Source organism: Homo sapiens, chromosome 10 (genome assembly GCF_000001405.40).
Source record: "Homo sapiens chromosome 10, GRCh38.p14 Primary Assembly".
NCBI lineage: Eukaryota > Metazoa > Chordata > Mammalia > Primates > Hominidae > Homo > Homo sapiens.
The window spans coordinates 73,435,875-73,455,677 of NC_000010.11; the positions used below are offsets into that span (position 1 = coordinate 73,435,875).

A 19,803-nucleotide genomic window follows, 5' to 3' on the forward strand; every position below is an offset into this window, starting at 1 on the left:
CAGTGAGCCAAGAGCATGCCACTGCATTCCAGCCTGGGTGACAGACAGAGATTCCGTCTCAAAAAAAAAAAAAAAAAAGCAAAAGAAAAAGAAAAAAGAAACAATTTGAGAAGTTCTGTTTGTTACCTGGAATTAGGCAAGCATGTGTGTGTGTGTGTGTGTGTGTGTGTGTGTGTGTGTGTGTGTGTGCGCTTGCCTAATATATTTACATATATTTTGTTTGTTTTTAAGGGATGGGGTCTCACTCTGTCACCCAGGCTGGAGTACAGTGGTACAATCATAGCTCAACACAGCCTGCAACCATGAGCTCCTAGGCTCAAGCAATCCTCTGTCTCAGCCTCCCAAAGTGTTTGGATTACAGGCATGAGCCACTGTGCCCTGCCTATATTTTGACTTAGTGTTTTATAATATATCTCATTGTAATTATTGTTGAGAACTATAATTCAAGTTATTGTATGATTATATAATTTTGAGCAATATCCTAATATCCCTCAATGTGCAAAATCCTATACTTATTGTGATTATGACAAAGAAGAAAGGAATGATAGGAAAATGCAATTATCACTAATATTTTTCTTATTGTTAGAACACCCAGTAAATTCCCAATACCACTATAACAAAATTCTAGACAATAACATATTTTCTTTCAATTAAAAGACAATAAACAGTGATCTTAAATATTAGACTTAGGAGGCCTACAGTAGGCATTCAAAGTCCTCTAGTGCTCAGTTACTAATGCTCATGTAAAACAAGTATATAACAAAAGTTTTTTTTAAGGCAAAATTTATAAAGAATTTAATTAATCAAATTACCATGAACTATCCACGAGATAATCTCCGGAGGACATCCCAGCTCTAGTAACAGGATTTTCTGATTTGCATCAAAAGGACAAATCAGATTGCATCTTCCAAATAAAACCCAACACAGAGATAGGAGCAGCGGCCCATGCATGGAATTTATTGTGTGCTACTGTTTATAAAATACTCGAATAGTCCTGCACATGCATAATATTTCCAACTTAGACAGGAGACCATACAGGGTGCACTTTCTGGCAAACAAAACAATAGATGGTTCCGCTGCCTGGAGCTCTGAGTTGTATTCCAGGGCATGAGGGAAGCAGGCCACCAAAGTAAAGGGAAATACCAAACTACAGTGGCAATCAATACAGGTCAATAATTGTGAAAAATTAGCACATGGTTCCATTTAGTTTAACCAAGCAGTTCAGTAACTATCAAAAGAAAGGTTTCAACATGCAGTCTTGACTTTTATGCTTCCACTAACATCTGAATGATTGAACAGAACCATTGCTTCTAGGCTGCATTGCTTAATCAAAAACACTTCCAGAACATTTTAAAATTTCCTTTGCATTAAAACATAAAAATGATAGAAAGCCAGCAGCAAATCACCCTGGTGGCTCTCTAAGCAACTTGAGTACTCACAATAAACTAAAATTTCTCATAACATCTAGGTAACCTATACATGTCGTACCTGTACATCATAGGTCTATATATTAAATATTTGCAAAATGAAAACATGCATACACAAAATACGTCAAGTTTTACAGACATGATTTGAATTAAAATTTACTTTGACAATGTACAAACTTCTTTTAAAGTACCTTAAATGAGTAATTCTGTAATTCTTCATAATTTTGAAATTTAGAGGTTTTCTTCTTAAATCTCTGGGGTGTAAGTCTTAAAAGATCTGGGCAAAAAAGACTCTAAATTAGTTTTTGGATTTGTGTTCAAGTAAGAGAGCCTGCCTGGAAATAGGATATGCATTCATAATTAAAAAATACCAAGACTATGTTACAGAATTAGCCACATTTAAGAACTATAGACCTGAGGTCAACATTTTGTATAAATGCCAACTGGGTTTCTCGGCATTTTGCTCACAATTCAAAATACAGCTAGTAACCTCAGAAATGTATTTTAAGACCATGCTAATTCATCCTTTAAAGACATTTCATGGAAAAAGAAAAGTCCACATTAGCTCTTAGGATTGCATTTGAAATCATGATTGAAAAACAAAATCTAATTCTACTGAAGGGGAAAAGAAATCTGATTTGTAAACTTAAATGTGTGAACCACAAGCATAAAATGGAGGTGTGGATGCCCTCCACTGGAAATTGCCCCAAGCCCCTTGCTCACTGCTCTCCACCTTGGCAGCGATGACCCAATCTTATCAGATAGCACATGTCCCAGGGCCCTCAAGCCTCCATCCAGGAAGGGGGCTAGGGTCTCAGAAGCACAATGGTTTCTTCAGAGAGACTGTGAAATTTACAGTCAGCTTGGCCGACCCCTCCAGCTCCTCGGGTGATCTGTCCATTTGGGGCCCGAGATGTGAGAGTCCCTGGGAAGTAGTGGGTCACTGGGCAGTATGGTTGCCCGTCCCGTGGTTCTCAGTGGCATGTGCGGTGTTCAGAGAATTGAAACCATCTTGCTGTACAGCATCTTTCCGAGGTGGCATTCTCTCATTGATCCTATCCAAACCCTTTGCCTCTTCAAAACTGCAGATTCTATGTGGTGGAGAGAATCCTCGTATTGCTTAATAAAATGCAAATTTGATAAGTCAGTAATTGAAAAACATTTCTGAGATTTCAAAAACATAATTAATGATTTTTAAGAAGAAAGAAATTAGTAGCTGTAAGTAGCAACACATAAATCTTACTTTAACTGAATCCTATCCTCATTTCAGTCTTTCCTTAAAATGTGAAATGTTTAAACCTAAATATAAACATCATAGCTTTATAGGTGACAAGTGTTAGCAAAGCCTTCCAAAAAATAAAAATACAAAAAAAATGTTAACCCTCTCCTGCCCCCAAAATCAACCTCCAGGCAATGGTCTCAGGGTCTCAGTCTGACTTCTACTATACCAATTATCTCCTACATCAGTCCCTAAGATCACCAGTGACTATCACAGTAAGGCAGCAATGAGAGTAGGGGCAAGTGAGGAGGCTAAACAAGGTTAATCCTCAATATACAAATCTGTACCAAGAGCTTGGGAGGAGAAAGAGTTAAAGAAAGGTTAAAATACAGTAGATCAGAACTATCTTGGAGGTCAAGGTCAGCCCATCGCCACCAATATAACATTAAAAAGGTGGAAGTGCCTCCAAGAGTTAGATCTGTGTATGGCTGATAGCAAAAAAGTATTTATAATCTCGTAATTTAGAAGATGTTCTCCTTAATTCATTGGCCATACTGCACAGTCTTTGGAAACTCAAATCAAAATAAATGGCAATTCTCCACCAATTGTATGGTTTCTCATTCACTTCATCTAGAATGATGCATCCTCCATTATTAAAGTGTTCATAGGAAATATTTTCAAACCACTGGTTATAATCTGGTTGCTTAATATCTGCAATCCTTAGGTCTTAGTCTGGCACATGAACCAAACAAATGGCTGGGGCTACAAACACTGAGGAATGTGAAATACCAAGCCAACACATATATATATGAACATAATCTTATCCATAAACTATAGCCCAAACTGCGGCCAAAAAAGAAAAAAGAAAATCATTATAGTGACAGTTCCTGTATTCTCAGTCAGGCACACTAGTTTGTAAAAACAAACTCACACCTATACCTAGAGGAGGATTCACTTAGGGAAAAAAAATCTGAGTAGCATAGAATCATGCAAAATATGGAACAGATCTCTATTTGCAGGTCAGTTTGGCAATTTCCATTAAAACAGGCAACTTTATAAAGCTATACTGTATAGCATAACATGCTATACTCTAAAGAAATCAGAAACATTACTTTCTGATTGCATATTACACCGGAAAGAAGAAAAAGACTGTCACCATAGACATCAGCCCTTCTGATTTAAAAATGAAAAATTAAAAAAAGAGGGCTGCAAGGCTTCTAAACTTGATGAATCAGTGAGTCTGATTCATCTTGGGCTGTAAAAGCTAGGAGTAAAACACACCCACAGGACATTCTCTGATGCCCACCCACACACCACAGATCTCTGCCCAGCACAAGGACTCTGATCATACCTTTTTCAGCCTCAATAGCCTCAACTGTGGCTGTACAGAAGTGAGCAGAGGCATGCAAAATGAATGAGAGAGATGAGAAGGGTCATATTGTACAGCAGAAAAGGCAATGATCACTTAAAATATCACAGTATCCCATACTACATCATCATTTAAAATTTAACATAAATAGTACCCAAATTAGAGAGCCCCATCCAAACCCCCAATTCCTGACACAGCACAGTTTACACACAGCACTATGACAACATCACTCAGAGCACAGAACACATAAACCTACTGTAAACACAGACACCTCAGCACCCATGCAAATGCACTCCAGTATTAATTACCCATCTTGAATCAGTAATTTGATGGCCTTAGAATTTTCCATTATGTTTATTATATCACATCCATCACAATCACAGGAAAATGCTCTAGGGTAAAATTATAATAGAATTGTAGCAGAAAAGCAAACAGAAAAGTCTTTTCTTTCATGTCAGTGAGAACAATACTCATTACCAGTTGGTTCCCTAAGACATAAACTAGAAGGGGTCAGCAATGCTTTACCTGTTACTTGTAATTTATAAGGCAAAACATAAGCTGCAAGAGCTGATATGACTACAGTGAAATTTAAGGGCAGTAAACTTGATGAATTACTATAAGTAGAACAGTTCTGTGGCTCTGTTCTTTGTGGGGGACCTGAAAGGACTTCTCCTGTCTACCAGTAACTTCCTTTCTATTCTAGTACTGATGTTCCAAATACCTACAGATACTAACATCTATAGCCTTAAAAAATTCCATTTATACTGACAGAGTTTATCATGAACTCAAATTTGCCTCAGAAAAAGACTACTGAGCATCTTTTCAAACTCATCTACCAATTAAAGAGACATTAAGGAAGAGAAGTGAGGTCTTACAGGCATAAATTCTAATTATTTCATGATATAGACACATAGGTCATATTATAAATAAGAAATACATTATTGGTATAGTGTGTCACTGGTCCATTTAGAGAATTTCACCATAATTAGTCAAACATTTTATAGTCAAAGATTCTTTTTTTCGCTCATTTCTGGGTTTGAACTGTATAAAGAGCTCACACTGAGGACCAGGACTCAAGATAGCACACAACAATACTGGTTTACAATATTGTCCATTCCCCTTATTACTCAGAATATTTGTAAAAGTAATGCCCTGGTCTCTCCTATTTTGCTTCTTCTGCAATAAGGCCAATTAGAATAATTATTCCTGAAGTGATCTTTTAGCAATTAACATGATTTAGAAATAATTTTATCCAAAGCAATTATTAATGTAAAAGAAACTGATGAATCTAAGGTATTAAAGTGAACTAAGTTAGAAAATGTTGATCTTAACCAGACAGTAAAGTGAATTGGGGACCCAAAAGAATTAGGACGAACACTGAATAAAGGAAGAGTTAATTTTCCTTAACTGTTAAACTACATTACAAATCGGGCAGGACATGGAAGATCATGCCTATAACCCCAGCACTCTCGGATGGCTGAGGTGGAAGGATCCCTTGAGCGTTTGAGCCCAGCCTGGGCAACACATAGAGAGACCTCATCTCCCCCCAAAAAAAGTTTAAAAAATTAGCCGGGCATGGTGGTGTGCATATGTAATCCCAGCTACTCGGGAAGCTGAAGCAGGAAGATCACTTGAGCCCAGATTGCTAATTGCAACACTCTATCTGAAAGGCACTATTTCTCCTCTATTTGTTTTCAGTTATATAGGGCATCTTGTCATGGCCTTAATAAGTTTGAGCATAGTGCTATCTCAAACTGTGTTCCTCAGTACTATGCAAGATAAATGACCAAGAGGAATTTGGTATTACTAACATAGAATTGGCCACATATATTTCCCATATAGATCCTGGTGAGGGTAGCATTACAGTGCTAGCTCCCAATCAAATTTCCCAGAAAGAAAACATACATAAAATAAAGATGAACAGAAAATCCACCTCCAATAGAGTTGTGCAGTTTGTAAAAACACTCAAGAAACATCATGTAAATTAACTTTTAAAGTTCTTGAAACGACAATTTTTATTTTCTGACAAATAGGCACGAGGTCTTAGAATTAAAATTTTTTCCTTTTGCAATACCTAACTCTCAGTTATACACACTAACATCAGGGAACATTATCTACTAAAATTTAAAATGTAGGATAACTTTTTAAAAAATAATCACAAACATGCAGCTTTTGTATGACCTTTGTTATTTGTTTCAAAGTGGATTTATCTTATGCTAGGAAAATAATTTTGACCAAATGCCCAAACCACACTATCAAGAGCTAGCAAAACTAGAAGCTATCTAGTTTAAGGGGTCCCAAATTAGACCCCTTAAACTCAATTCCTTCCAGTAACTTAGTCCATGCTGAGAATAGAGAGTCCCTCCAGCAAAGCTGCTGTCTTTCAAACCTCCCCTGCAGTTGAGGGTGGTTTCAAAGTTGAAGGAATGAGCTTCAAGCCGTGTACAAATTAAGAATAAACAGAAGTCAACAAAGCATGTAATTAGCAGGGGCTAATCGTGAAATCTGAAAGCAAGGTTTGCTGCGGATACAATATAAAAGTAATGTTATATCCAAGGATAACTGAGAGATGACTATACTGTAGATTTATTTAAGTATGATACCCTTTTGGTTTTATTTTTCTTTTCTGAACAAAGAAGAGTATAATATTTTTGAAGCTATTAAAGTTCATCCTTTTCTATTAACATTTTTACTAGTTTTATCAAATGTTTAAGATCTTGTTTTAATGTACATTCATGAAATTCTTTTTAGTTCATTTTTCTAATGTTTACAATATAATAAGAAAAATGGAGGGCAAGGAATGTAAAGCAAATCAAAGCAGGTTGTTTTTTTTTTTTAAAGAAAATCAAAAAAAGAAACCTCATTCAGAATGAAAATTTATAATTTCAAAACACAGTGTACTTTTCAGATATACCAGTGGTGGTAGTGAACAATACAATGACATTTAAAATAGAACATGTATAGGCTACAAGTAAAAATTGTTTACAGGAAAAAAATTTTTTTTATTGAAAAGCAATCATTGGCCAGGCATAGTGGCTCATGCCTATAATCCCAGCACTTTGGGAGGCTGAGGTCAGAAGATTGCTTGAGCCCAGGAGTTTGAGACCAGCCTGGGCAATACAAAAATATAAAAAAATAAAAAATAAAAAAAATAAAAAAAATTAGCTGGCTGTGGTGGCATGTGCCTATGGTCTTAGCTACTTGGGTGGCTGAAATGGAGGACTGCTTGAGCCCAGGAGGTTGAGGCTGCACTGCACTCCAGCCTGGGTGACACAGCAAGAAACCAGACCCTGTCTGTCTCTCTCACACACACACATGTACACATGCACACAAAAAAAGAAAGACAGAGAGAGAGAGAGAAAGAGAGAGAGAGAGAGAGAAAGAAAGAAAGAAAGACAGAAAGAAAGAAAGAAAGAAAGAAAGAAAGAAAGAAAGAAAGAAAAAGAAAGAGAAGAGAAGAGAGAAAAGAAAAAAAAAGAGCACTTATTATGGAACCAAGTGAAATGAAATTGTGAAGTCAAATGTAAATTCATTCAAAACGTTAAAATTGCCTATTTTTTTCCCTCTAAAAAAGTCACTAATTACAACACCAAAAAGAAACCTAATTATGACTAAGGAAAACATCAGATCTGTTGCTATTTTAATAGACAATGACCCTTAGAGGGCTGTCAAAAGTGACTACAAGAAATTCAGGCTTTTCCACATCATGTATTTTTGCTTTCCAACCACAGGAAAAGAAATCTAGACTGAATTACTGTGTATGGTCACTAATACTCACATCACTCTCTTCTATTTAATCTGTAATGGGCTTTTAAAAAGTTAACCCAGTATTTACACAAATATTTACGCCAAAAAAAGTTTTTTAAGTATAAAATATTCAATGAGCCAGATTACAGGAATGCTTTACGTATAATTCTTTTTATTTTCATGCAAAATAAAGGCACACTTAATAACACCCTTTCAATTTTGACTTACAGGATTTAAATTCAACCCCTTATAACAATGACTTAATATCTAATGTTACATTCATGTTCAGAATGCACAAAGTGCAGCAACAAATGCAGCAAACCTCAAAACAAGGTGCTACAAAGCTGCTTCTACATTGCAAGACAGACAAGTGTCTGATGGAGTAATTTAATTGAACATACTTTTACAGACATACAGCTAACCTAAAGAAAGACAGACAGATTTAGGAAAGCAGCTACATCTGCAGAGGAAGGAAACAGCATGTTACAGACAGTTAATTATACATAGAACATTTGACAAACACCACAGAAAACAAACTTTGGCATCATTTACCAGGGTACAAAACCTTGCACAAATCTTTTGGTAACTGAAGGGCATAAGTAATGTTCTGGGGCCTAAGCAGGTAGTTAACTCTAAATTAAGTAGTTTTAAATATAAGCATAGTCCAATACAATGACATAAATTTAAAAAATTAAAAAAGAAACTTGGAATTACATTTCCATTTTAGTAACAGGAATATCCCTGATTCACATTCTGAAACTGGGGCTTTTAAAAGAAAAGGGTGAATTAGACAGATGAATAAATAAATATTTCAGACATTATGATATGAGCTGCTCCCATATCATTTCATGAAAAGCTGAGGAACTGACCATTATTTTCAATTGAAAGGAATACCCATTCTATCAGTTTTCTGCCCTGATCAGGTATTAATGAGACACTAGCTAATACAGTACCCTGTCTAGGTCAGCTGCTGAGACAGGAACTAAAAAACAGAAGGAATTCCCTGCATGCATTATGTGAATTGTTAGCAAAAGAGTGAGGTGTGCCCCAGTCCATCTGAGGCACAGCAAGTTGCATAACATCATTACCACTTTGCAGGGTCTGCCGTCCTCCAGCTAACACTCCACTAGGCAACATCCCTGTGGGAGTCAGGCCCTTGAGTGTCAGCACACTTTCACTCTCCTCCCTATAGCAGAGAGATATAACAAATATCAGATACTTCCAACAAGTACTTAATTTAAAAGAAGACATAGGGTCTAGATATAGGCCATATATAAAATTCATGACATTCATTGCTATTACCATATTTTCCTCAATTTCAAGACATTAATTTTTCTATATTTTAAGTGTTTCAGGTATGAGGGTGTGCCTTACCATTGAGGCATATATTGTTTTTCCTGAAAAGCTTTATTAAATATGTGGTAAGATTCATCAAGGGGCATCATACTATTGAGAAAATATGGTATTTCATATGCTCTGAAGTTCAAATGTCTGATGTAGTCAGTTGTGCAAACAAATTTTTAAAGACTGACCTATTCATTTGTACCCTTTAACCTGGTCTTCCTGAATTAACCCCAGGGAAGGCAATTTATGGCTCCAGCACAAGGGACTTCCTATATGGATGAACAAGTTCATCAAGAATACTCTAAAAAGTATCCCCTCCTTCTTATCCTGCTCTAATTTTCAAGGTGTGAATTTAGTGTTATCACAAACGGAAAAGAGATACCAAAGATGAGCAATAACAATCACCAGAGTCAAAAATCTTAGCTTCAAAGGGACTTGTGTTCCCATCTTCAGTATACAAATATATAAACTTCTTTTTCTTTTTGAGACAAGGTCTCACTCCGTCACCCAGGCTGGAGTGCAGCGGCACAATCACGGCTCACTACTCACAACTTCCTGGGGCTCAGGTGATCCTCCCATCTCAGCCTCCCGAGTAGCTGGGACCACAGGTGCATGCCACCAGGCCCGGCTAATTTTTGTATTCTTTTTTGTGGAGATGGGGTTTCGCCATGTTTCCTAGCCTGGTCTTGAACTCCGCCCGCTTTGGCCTCCCAAAGTGTTGGGATTACAGGCGTGAGCCACTGCACCCAGCCTAAGGGCCTAAGTACCCTTTTTTTTTTTTTTTCTGAGACAGAGTCTCACTCTGTCACCCAGGCTGGAGTGCAGTGGCGTCATCTCAGATCACTGCAACCTCCACCTCCCGAGTTCAAGTGATTCTCCTGCCTCAGCCTCCCGAGTAGCTGGGACTACAGGCATGCACCACCACATCCAGTTAATTTTTCTATTTTTAGTAGAGACAGGGTTTCACCATGTTGGCCAGGATGGTCTCAATCTCTTGACCTCGTGATCCACCTGCCTTGGCCTCCCAAAGTGCTGGGATTACAGGCGTGAGCCACCACGCCTGGCCAGGCCTAAGTAACTTCTTTATAGGAAGAATGATACCCTGTTGCTTGTTGCTTTTTTTCTTTCTTTTTTTTTTTTTTTAGACAGAGCCTTGCTCAGTCGCCCAGTCTGGAGTGGCGCAGTCTCGGCTCACCGCAACTTCTGCCTCCTGGGTTCAAGCAATTCTTGTGCCTCAGCTTCCCGAGTAGCTGGGATTACAGGTGCATGCCACCACGCCCGGCTAATTTTTGTATATTTAGTAGAGATGGGGATTCACTATGTTGGCCAGGCTGGTTTCAAACTCCTGACCTCAGGTGATCCGCCCGCCTTGGCATCCCAAAATGCTGAGATTACAGGAGTGTGCCACCATACCCGGCCCCATTTTGCTTTTAGATGCGGGACAATGCTTGTAACAAGGTACAATAAACGTAATTTCTGCAAAACAAATAATCAAGAAAATATATCATTACCTGAGAACAGAGAAGACTCTTGCCATCTTGCCAATTGCTCGAATTTTGTTTCTTATGATTTCTTTCCGGGCTGCAGCTGAACCTACTTTCAATGGAATAAATAGAGAGAAAGGCTCAAGTTTAGGGCATGCATGCTTACAATATTCTATTAGCCTGTTCCACACTCATCTAAACCAGTACCAAGACCCCTGCCACCAGCTTACATGGAGGGGACTAGATGAACTCATGCTAAAAAATGTCTTGCTCTCTCAATGTTTAGCTCAGCATTGGTCTAATACTGGGGTCTGATAAATATAGAAATAAAAAGTAATCCACAAACTTTAATATTTCACTCTACTGGCTAATCAGTAAAACAGCAATGGGGAAAAAAAAACAAACAAACTTGAGCCCAACTTGCATTACAAACCAGAGGGCAAAAACTGATAATAATCCTATAGTCTCTGTTTAATTTTCATGACAGCCTATGGCATGCAGACTAACAGACAAGAATTTCTAACAGTCCTGTAGTCTTATTTAACTATCACAAAGTATTTGACATGCAGGCTGACAATATCCCATCAGACTATGACAGAATAAGCTTCTTTGCTTTGAGTTGGTCTAAAATGAATGGCATGAAGGAGCTACTGTGCAGGTAATCCTGAACTAAGGGCCATACCAGCATTTCAACAATGCACCAGGTGCCTAATGTACCAGGTGCTCCTAAGGTCATGCAAATATATACAATCTTTTACATCTCTAGGTGAGTATGACATAAGCAACAAGAAAAACATGGCTAAAGGATCACTACTGCTTCATCTCTAAAGGGTTAGCTGTGCTGTCTACAACTGATGTAGAAGAGAATAAACCAAAATAACTAAATCCTTGGCTGAAGAATGACTCAAAGGTTTTATCTTCCTTCCCTTGGCCTCCAGAAAGAACAACATCAATCTCAGTCCTGTTATTTCATATATAGCAACTAGAATCACTCTGGACCCAAAAGTGTGGTTCCTTAGAGCCGTGCTTCAACACAATGAAAACACACATGGAAGCACCATGGTTGAGGAGAAGGTTAAGGAAAGGCTAAAGACACTAATTCAAAAGGGGCCTTAGGTATACAGAGGTCTGAACAACTGTAAGTCTTCTGGGAGAGAACATCTCATTTAAAATTCAAGCAGTCCACAATTACATATAATTAAAAACTAAGATAATGACTGGATCTGACTGCAAGAAAAGAGAAAAAGAAATCCAACTTGAAAGACAGAAACAAAAGACATATTTTAGGGGAAAAAAATAGGCTCCATGACATGTTTATGATCTTCTAAAGGGTAAATATTATGAGCACTGAAGCTACAGCTTTTACAAGTCCAAAACTGTGTGGGTACCTGGGTACCACAGCACTCTAAACAGGTATTTTTAAAATACCAAAAAAAAAAACCACAAAAAAACCCCCAAAAACTAAAAATATAAGAATCATAGAATATTAGAATTTGAAGAGACAATGGAGATACTATAAAGTGCAATCTCCTCATTTTATAGACAAAGAAACTGAGGTTATTAAGTGACTTGTTCAAGGATAGAAGGTAAGTCTGATTCTCTTCTAATAAATGATTATAAACATTTTGTTTTAAAATTGACAGAATTTTAAAGTAGCTAGACTGGGGATAAGCAGTAGGGTGTTGGGGAGGATGGCTGTAATAAGTACATTCATATTTTCAGATTTAATTTCTATATCTATAAAACCAAATGACATGTAAACTATACTGATATCAAATGAAAAATTCACAGGAATATAAAAACACTGTACAAATCAGGATTTTAAATCAGTCTACAAACACATCATGCATCATATTAAAGTAAATGGTCACAGTAACATTTCTTTGGGAAATAATAGACAATCAAACAACCCTAATCATGCAGGGAAAAGTACAAAACATTACAAATAAGCAAAAGAATGAAATTTTAAAACAGGAATGAAAAGGAGGGAAAATATTTCCATGCACAGAAAGACAGATATCTTGGAATATGACTTCTAAAAATACCAAACACTAACACAGATAAAACTTAAGCTAAATTTGCACAAGGCCCAAGAGGACTCTGCATAGACATTACTCAATGAATGTGCTAACTTACATGGACATGAAGATAACTTATGAAGTCATATTTCAAAACAATGTTACTCTGTCTGGTCTGTACCTTTTTTATTGCCATATATGAGCCGTTCTTCAGATGGAGAGTCCAGAAAAAAGGAAGTGAATGATGGAGAAAAGGTGGTTGGGACAAATAAAAAGATAGAGATTTAACTTGGCAGTGGTACTGAAGAATGAATGTAGAAAGAGAGAAAAATGAAGGCCCTCATATTTGGAAATTTGAAAAATGTAGTACTGTAGAATCTGGTGAATAAAGAGGGATGCAACTAGGTAGAACTCTAAAGTAAAGATTTCTTAAAAGACATGTGCATGGAAGAAATTATGGACAGAATAACTATCATATCTGATGGAAGCAGACATAATTAGGGACAGAAAAAAACATGTGAAAACACATAAGACTGAAAAAAGACTGCTAACAAATATTGCACATTTATAGTCATACCCCTAAGGAAATGTGTCACCTGTGGAAGTATGTTAAGTAAAAGGTAATGACACAAATGAAATACAAACTTGTGTGGTTCTTCAAGGACACCAACATCTGCAAAATCTGTAGTACATTCAGAGAAATGTAGGTAACTTTATAAACTGCCTCAGTAGAAAACCTCACCCCCTCCCAACGAAGGAAAAGCTAAACCTCCCATATTCCCTAACAAGAGCACATGATTTCCTAAATCTGAATTGCAGAACTTTTGCATATACTCAGGAGCAACAGTATGTGCTTTCTGTCCCCAGTCCAATCTGGGAAATTTGGGGGACATCTTTTTGCAAAAATAGCAACAGATTGTTTCAAATCAAGTAACAGTTCTAAGAGTAGGCAGCTGGGGTGGTTTCATTTGAGCTTTCCATATCTTCCATTCTAATGCTGAGATATATTATTCCTTTATAGGAAATGTATTTATTTTAGTGAAACTGCAACACATATGGATTATGTACTTCCCTTTACCAAACTGAAGACAAAAGATAAACACCTGGAAAAAACTGCATGCAACCTAAATATCACAGAAATCAGTTTTCAAAAATTCTCTTTTATGATTAACACTTCTAAAACGGATGCTATGTGGGTTTATACATTAGTGTTAATGCAAATTTTTGTCTTAAAAATGACCCCACACATACATTAAACAATACAGAGCACCAAAGATTTACCACTTAACAACAGTCTTATGCCTTTACCTAATCTTAGCTTTTTTTTTTTTGAGACCGAGTCTCGCTCTGTCAACCAGGCTGGAGTGCAATGGGGTGATCTCGGCTCACTGCAACCTCTGCCTCCCGAGTTGAAGCAATTCTCCTGCCTCTGCCTTCAAAATAGCTGGGACTACAGGTGCGCACCACCATGCCTGGCTAATTTTTGTGTTTTTTAAGTAAAGAGGGGGTTTTGCCATGTTGGCCAGGTTGGTCTCGAACTCCTGACCTCAGGTGATCCACCCGCCTTAGCCTCCCAAAGTGCTGGGATTACAGGCCTGAGCCACCGCGCCCGGCCATCTTAGCTTTAAATATACAAAAATTACTTCTTCCTTCCTGACACTCAGAAATCTCCAATCCCGCTCTCTTTCCCCAAAGAAAAACTAAACCCTTACTCTGATTCCACAGCCATCCCATCAAGTTTTCTTTCTAAAGTCAGATATCTCCCCAGACCAGTTCCATAGAATGGTTCACCGTTGTGTAGGAAAAGAGGAAGGAGAGAACAGAAGGCACGCCATTACAGTGAAAGGAAAGGAGAAAAGATGGAGGGAGTTAGAGGGAAGAAATCAGGGAGTACAAATAAGGAAGGGAAATAAACCTATTTCCAGTAGCTCTTTCCCTACCCCACTTTAAACCTTAGTATCTATCCGAATCTCCTCCTCTGTCCTCCATTTCCTCAACATTCTTTTCTCTTTCAAACCATTCCCATTTCTCCATGCAAACTCCCAGACTCATATTCCTAAAACTTTCTTAGAGTCCCTACTCCTAATACGTGGTACTGGAAGAGTGAAAACAATGAAGAGTAATTGTACCTGCCCTGTTAGCAGTAAAGGGAGATCTATTTCTAATATTCAAAGCTGGAACTCAGTGTATTTTCCCATAGAAACATTGTCATAAATGGTGCTTAACAATTTTTAAAATTATTTAAGAGTGGGAAAGAATTTTCATCCTCTCTATTCCCTCAGTTTCTGAATAAGAAAACCTGAGAAATTAGGTGCCTTTTCTAAGATTACACAGCTAGTGAACGGTAGTGACAAGACACCTAAACCACTGATCCTTTTCATTAAACTACACTGCCTCTTTAATGATCAAATTCAATTCATCCCTGGAATGCAAGAATGATAATAACAAGTGGATAAATTATCATACTAATAGGAAAAATACTGATGATATATAAAATCTTCTCATTAGAATATAATAAAATTTTATATTTATTTCTGGTTCCATCTCAAAATATGACTCAGTATCTTTATTCATATAAATCATAGGTACCTAAAACCAAGTACTATAATTAGACTTAACAAGGAACCTTTTTTTCTTATTATTATAAGAAGAGGACTAAAGCATTATCTACCATCATGCCTATTTAACATACTATTGCAATACTCATAATAACTTTTAAAGAATAAAAGAAAGGTAAAAATACAGAAAATAAATAACAATATCAATCCCCTATAAATGACATATTTTTAAAAGTAATAGAAAACAAACTTAAAATTATCATAGAAAATAATTCTGCTGATTCAAGTTTGTTAGATATAAGATAAACCCACAAATATATAGTATATTCTTTTACACAGATAGAAAATAAGAGACACCAGTTGTAATAGTAATAAGAACATAAAATACAGATGTATTAATTTAACTTGATAATGACAAAATTTTTTCAAAGAAAAACTATATAACCTTAAATGGAGGAAATAGTAAATAATTATATAGAGCAAGAGTTCTTGGTCTTAGTTTGGAAAACTAAATACTATTTTTTAAAAAAGAAAGAAAGAGAAAGGAAGAAGGAAGGAAGGAAGGAAAAACAAAAGACTTGGCCAGGCCTGGTAGCTCATGCCTGTAATCCCAGCGCTTTTTGAGAGGCTGAGGTGGGAGGACTGCTTGAGGCCAGGAGTTCAAGACCAGCCTTGGTAACATAGGGAAACCTCACTCATCTCTTTTTTTTTTTTTTTTTTTTTGAGACGGAGTCTCCATCTGTCGCCCAGGCTGGAGTGCAGTGGTGCGATCTCGACTCACTGTAACCTCCGCCTCCTGGGTTCACTGTATTCTCCTGCCCCAGCCTCCCAAGTAGCTAGGACTACAAGCACCCACCACAACGACCGGCTAATTTTTTGTATTTTTGGTAGAGACAGGGTTTCACCATGTTAAGCCAGGATGGTCTTGATCTCCTGACCTCATGATCCACCCGCCTCAGCCTCCCAAAGTGCTGGGATTACAGGCGTGAGCCACCACACCCGGCTGGAAGCCTCATCTCTTAAAAAAAAAAATTTAAAAAACCTCCCTAGATTCAGATATAGAATTAACATAATATCAATTAAAACTCTCACTAAATATTTCACAGATTTTGAAAAATAGAAAACTTTCTAAAAAAAAGTAGGCTATGTGGCAATAATTACTTCAATTATTCATTATCTCAATACCTACAACATTATGAAGTAGGTATTACTGTCACTTCTTTGAACATGAGAGAAACTGAGACTCAGAAAGGTTAAGTAAGTCGTCTGATGCCACAGAGCCATTAGAAGGAACTAGAATCTGAGCCCAGGTCTATTCTTAAAACAGTGACAGCAGAACAGGGAAACAAAATATCTATTTGAAACTATTCAATGGCTGGGCATGGTGGCTCACGCCTGTAATCCTAACACTTTGGGAGGCAGAGGCGGGCCGATCATCTGAGGTCAGGAGTTCGAGACAAGTTTGGCCAAGATGGTGAAACCCCATCTCTACTAAAAATACAAAAATTAGCTGGGCGTGATGGTGGGCACCTGTAATCCCAGCTACTTGGGAGGCTGAGGCAGGAGAATTGCTTGAACCAGGGAGGTGGAGCTTGCAGTGAGCTGAGATCACGCCACTGCACTCTAGCCTGGGTGACAGAGCAAGACTCTGTCTCAAAAAAAAAAAAAGGAAAGAGAATTAAAATAAGGAAGAGTAATTATTATTCACTAAAGTTTACTATCCAAACTAAAAAATAACTGATAATAAATATACTATGTCAGTTATTAACAAATGTGTAAGAATAAAAGCACATCTCTGCCTACCACTAACAGATGGCAATGGTAGCGCTTGTACAGTTACCTTGTACTTTCAACAAATGGGCTTTCAAATGTTTAAGAATCAAACCTGTTTGTAAGTAAAGAAATTTCTAAATAGGCTTCATTCAGATTTTACTCGAAAAGTGATCAAATGAAATGGATAGTTTACACAGTTGGAAAAACAGTAATTTTCTTCTTAGCATCATTAGAAATCAAAGAAATGTAAACTTAAGCAACTATAATTTACTACTATATAGCCATGAAGAAAATAAGTAAAAATGACCAAAATCCAATGAGGTAGTCCTGTGGAGAAATATGTTTATGGATTCCTTGCTGGAGGCACTTCATAGTGGTCCAATCCTTCTGCAAAGCAATCTGGTAGTTCACAGCTAAAACGATGAAGCTAAAAGAATTACAGAGTTAATTCTGTAACTCTATAATTCTCTCCAATAAATTTATTCCAAGGAGGAAAATAAAAGCTATTATACAAATATGTTTATTTTACTGCTATTCATAAGGATAATTTAGAACCCAGTTGCCAAACAATGAGATTATGAAAATTAAATTTTCGTGTGTGTGTGTGTGTATATATATATTTTTTTAATACAGACAAGGAAATCTTTCCATATTGCCCAGGCTGGTCTCCAACTCCTGGGCTCAAGGGATCCTCCTGCCTTGGCCTCCCAAAGTGGTGGGATTACAGGCGTGAGCCACCACATCTAGCCAAACATTATAGTTTATCAATGGACTTAGAAATACGTAGCTATTAAATCTTACCAATATACAGACCATGTTTAATACACGGAAACATTGAAATATTGATTACAACTATAAAAAGTATACTACAACAAAGATATGAGGGGAATATGGAAGGGAATCGTTTTCAGTTTATATATTGTTTACCTTTTTATGTACTCAGGTTTTAATTAAACATTTAAATAATAAAGTTTTAAATAAAAATTTCAAAACAAAATAAAATGAATTGTTTCTATAGTATTACTTTTTACTATAAACATGCATTAGGTACATAGGCTTGTTGGCTTACGTAACAACAACCATGTATAACTTTGTTTCTGTGGAAAAAAATGCTTTCAGAATCTGAAACTAAATTAGCAAGTGGTCTTTTAGAACACAATCACACTAATTTAGAAGCAGTCTATTTTAGTGTCTAAAAGGCAGGAAAAGCAAAATTGGGAGTTCAGGTATGCTTCTGATGCACTAAGAATATTGTTCTAATAAAACAAATAGTATTTTTATCCTCTTTTCTCTAACCAGTGTCCATATTTGCCAAGAACTACATCCTTTTAACACTTCAATTTTCCTTTCCTTATCTTCTTTCTTCCAAATTTCTCCTTTCCCAAAGTTCATCTTCTTCCCCATATTACAATAAAAAAATGAAATCACTGAAATTATTTTCAAATCTTAATATCCAAAAAAAGTAACTTGTTACTTATCAAATAGCATAGTCTCTGAAAGCAATGACTATTTTTTGCAAAATAGTGTGTACTGAGGCTAGGCAGTAAAGAAATACCATTTCACAGTAAAAAAAAAAATAGTAAGATGAATAATCATACCATCAAACTGGTCTTCACCTTCAGTCATTAGTTCATCATCAGAGCAAATACTCAGAACATTTACCAACATTTCTGTCACTATTTGGGAAAAAAAAGTTACATGTTAGCTGACCATATATAACTGTCTATACATACACATAGCAACTATTTTTACAAATGGTCAAATAATGTTTAGCCCAAGAAAGCAAACACATTCTTATACCAAGATCGATGGAATTTAAAAATGCAAAGGCTTTCAAAATGAAAGAAATTCAGTGGATAACAACTCTGAGAGAAAGAGATTCTTTATGGAACAAATTTTCAGGCCTCTCAAAAAAAAAAAAAAATGAAGCCCCATAGAGATAAGAACAGAGATGAATAACAACTGAATGTATACATTTCAAATCTTCATTCATGGATATAGCATAATAAGAAAAAAAATCATGGCAGAGTTTTAGTGGTTCCAAAAAGTCTCAGGATTTAATCTTTTTTTTTTTTTGGAGATGGAGTCTTGCTCTGTTGCCCAGGCTGCAGTGCAGTGGCGTGATCTCGGCTCACTGCAACCTCTGCCTCCCAGGTTCAAGAGATTCTCCTGCCTCAGCCTCCCAAGGAGCTGGGATTACAGACACCCATCGTCATGCCCAGCTAATTTTTGTATTTTTTTTTTTTCTTTTAGTAGAGATGGGGTTTCACCATGTTGGTCAGGCTGGTCTCGAACTCCTAACCTCATGATCCACCCGCCTTGGCCTCCCAAAGTGCTGGGATTACAGGCGTAGGCCACTGCGCCTGGCCTTAATCTTTTAAAAACTGGCTCAGCAACTCTCTTGAAATTTACTTCTAAAGATTACTAATGACTATCTAACAATCTGAACCCTTGGCTCTTTCATAGGCTTAATCCTCTTTGACTATTCTGTATATTTTTTTCCTTCTCTTTTCCCTTGGTTCCCAAGATTCTGCTCTTCTGGTTTTCCCACATTTGGATCATTTTTCCCCAAAACTTTGGATATCCTCAAGATTCTCTCTGCATTATTATTCCTCCTATATGTTCAATCACTTGGAATTTCTGTCTATTATCATATTTACAGTTTCAATTATCACCTCGTTGAAGATGACTCCAAAGTCTGTATCTCCAGTGTTGACCTCTCCTTCAGGCTCTAGATGTCCTTGGCTAGTTTTATTGTCAACTGTCTTTTTTTTTGAGATGGAGTCTCGCTGTCGCCCAGGTTGGAGTGCAGTGGCGCGATCTCGGCTCACTGCAGGCTCCGCCTCCCGGGTTCACGCCATTCT

At 36.9% G+C, this 19,803-nt stretch overlaps 1 protein-coding gene across 15 annotated transcripts in view; it reads right to left on the minus strand.

Annotated features, from left to right (window-relative positions):
• Positions 1-558: 558 nt before the first annotated feature.
• PPP3CB (protein phosphatase 3 catalytic subunit beta) overlaps positions 559-19,803 on the minus strand; it is a 59,592-nt gene continuing 40,347 nt past the window's right edge. For 4 of the 15 annotated variants that reach the window (XM_047425426.1, XM_047425430.1, XM_047425428.1 and 1 more), the window contains 6 exons: positions 18,538-18,615; positions 12,790-12,816; positions 10,618-10,702; positions 8,851-8,948; positions 3,998-4,027; positions 559-2,546 (listed from right to left, as the gene is read on the minus strand). In XM_047425426.1, coding sequence (XP_047281382.1) covers positions 2,368-2,546; positions 3,998-4,027; positions 8,851-8,948; positions 10,618-10,702; positions 12,790-12,816; positions 18,538-18,615 — 497 coding nt within the window. In that variant the 3' untranslated portion in view covers positions 559-2,367. Of the gene's footprint in view, positions 2,547-3,997; positions 4,028-7,914; positions 8,949-10,617; positions 10,703-12,789; positions 12,817-18,537; positions 18,616-19,803 lie in introns of those variants that run through there. The other 11 variants (NM_021132.4, XM_047425432.1, NM_001142353.3 and 8 more) reach the window with 6 other exon arrangements.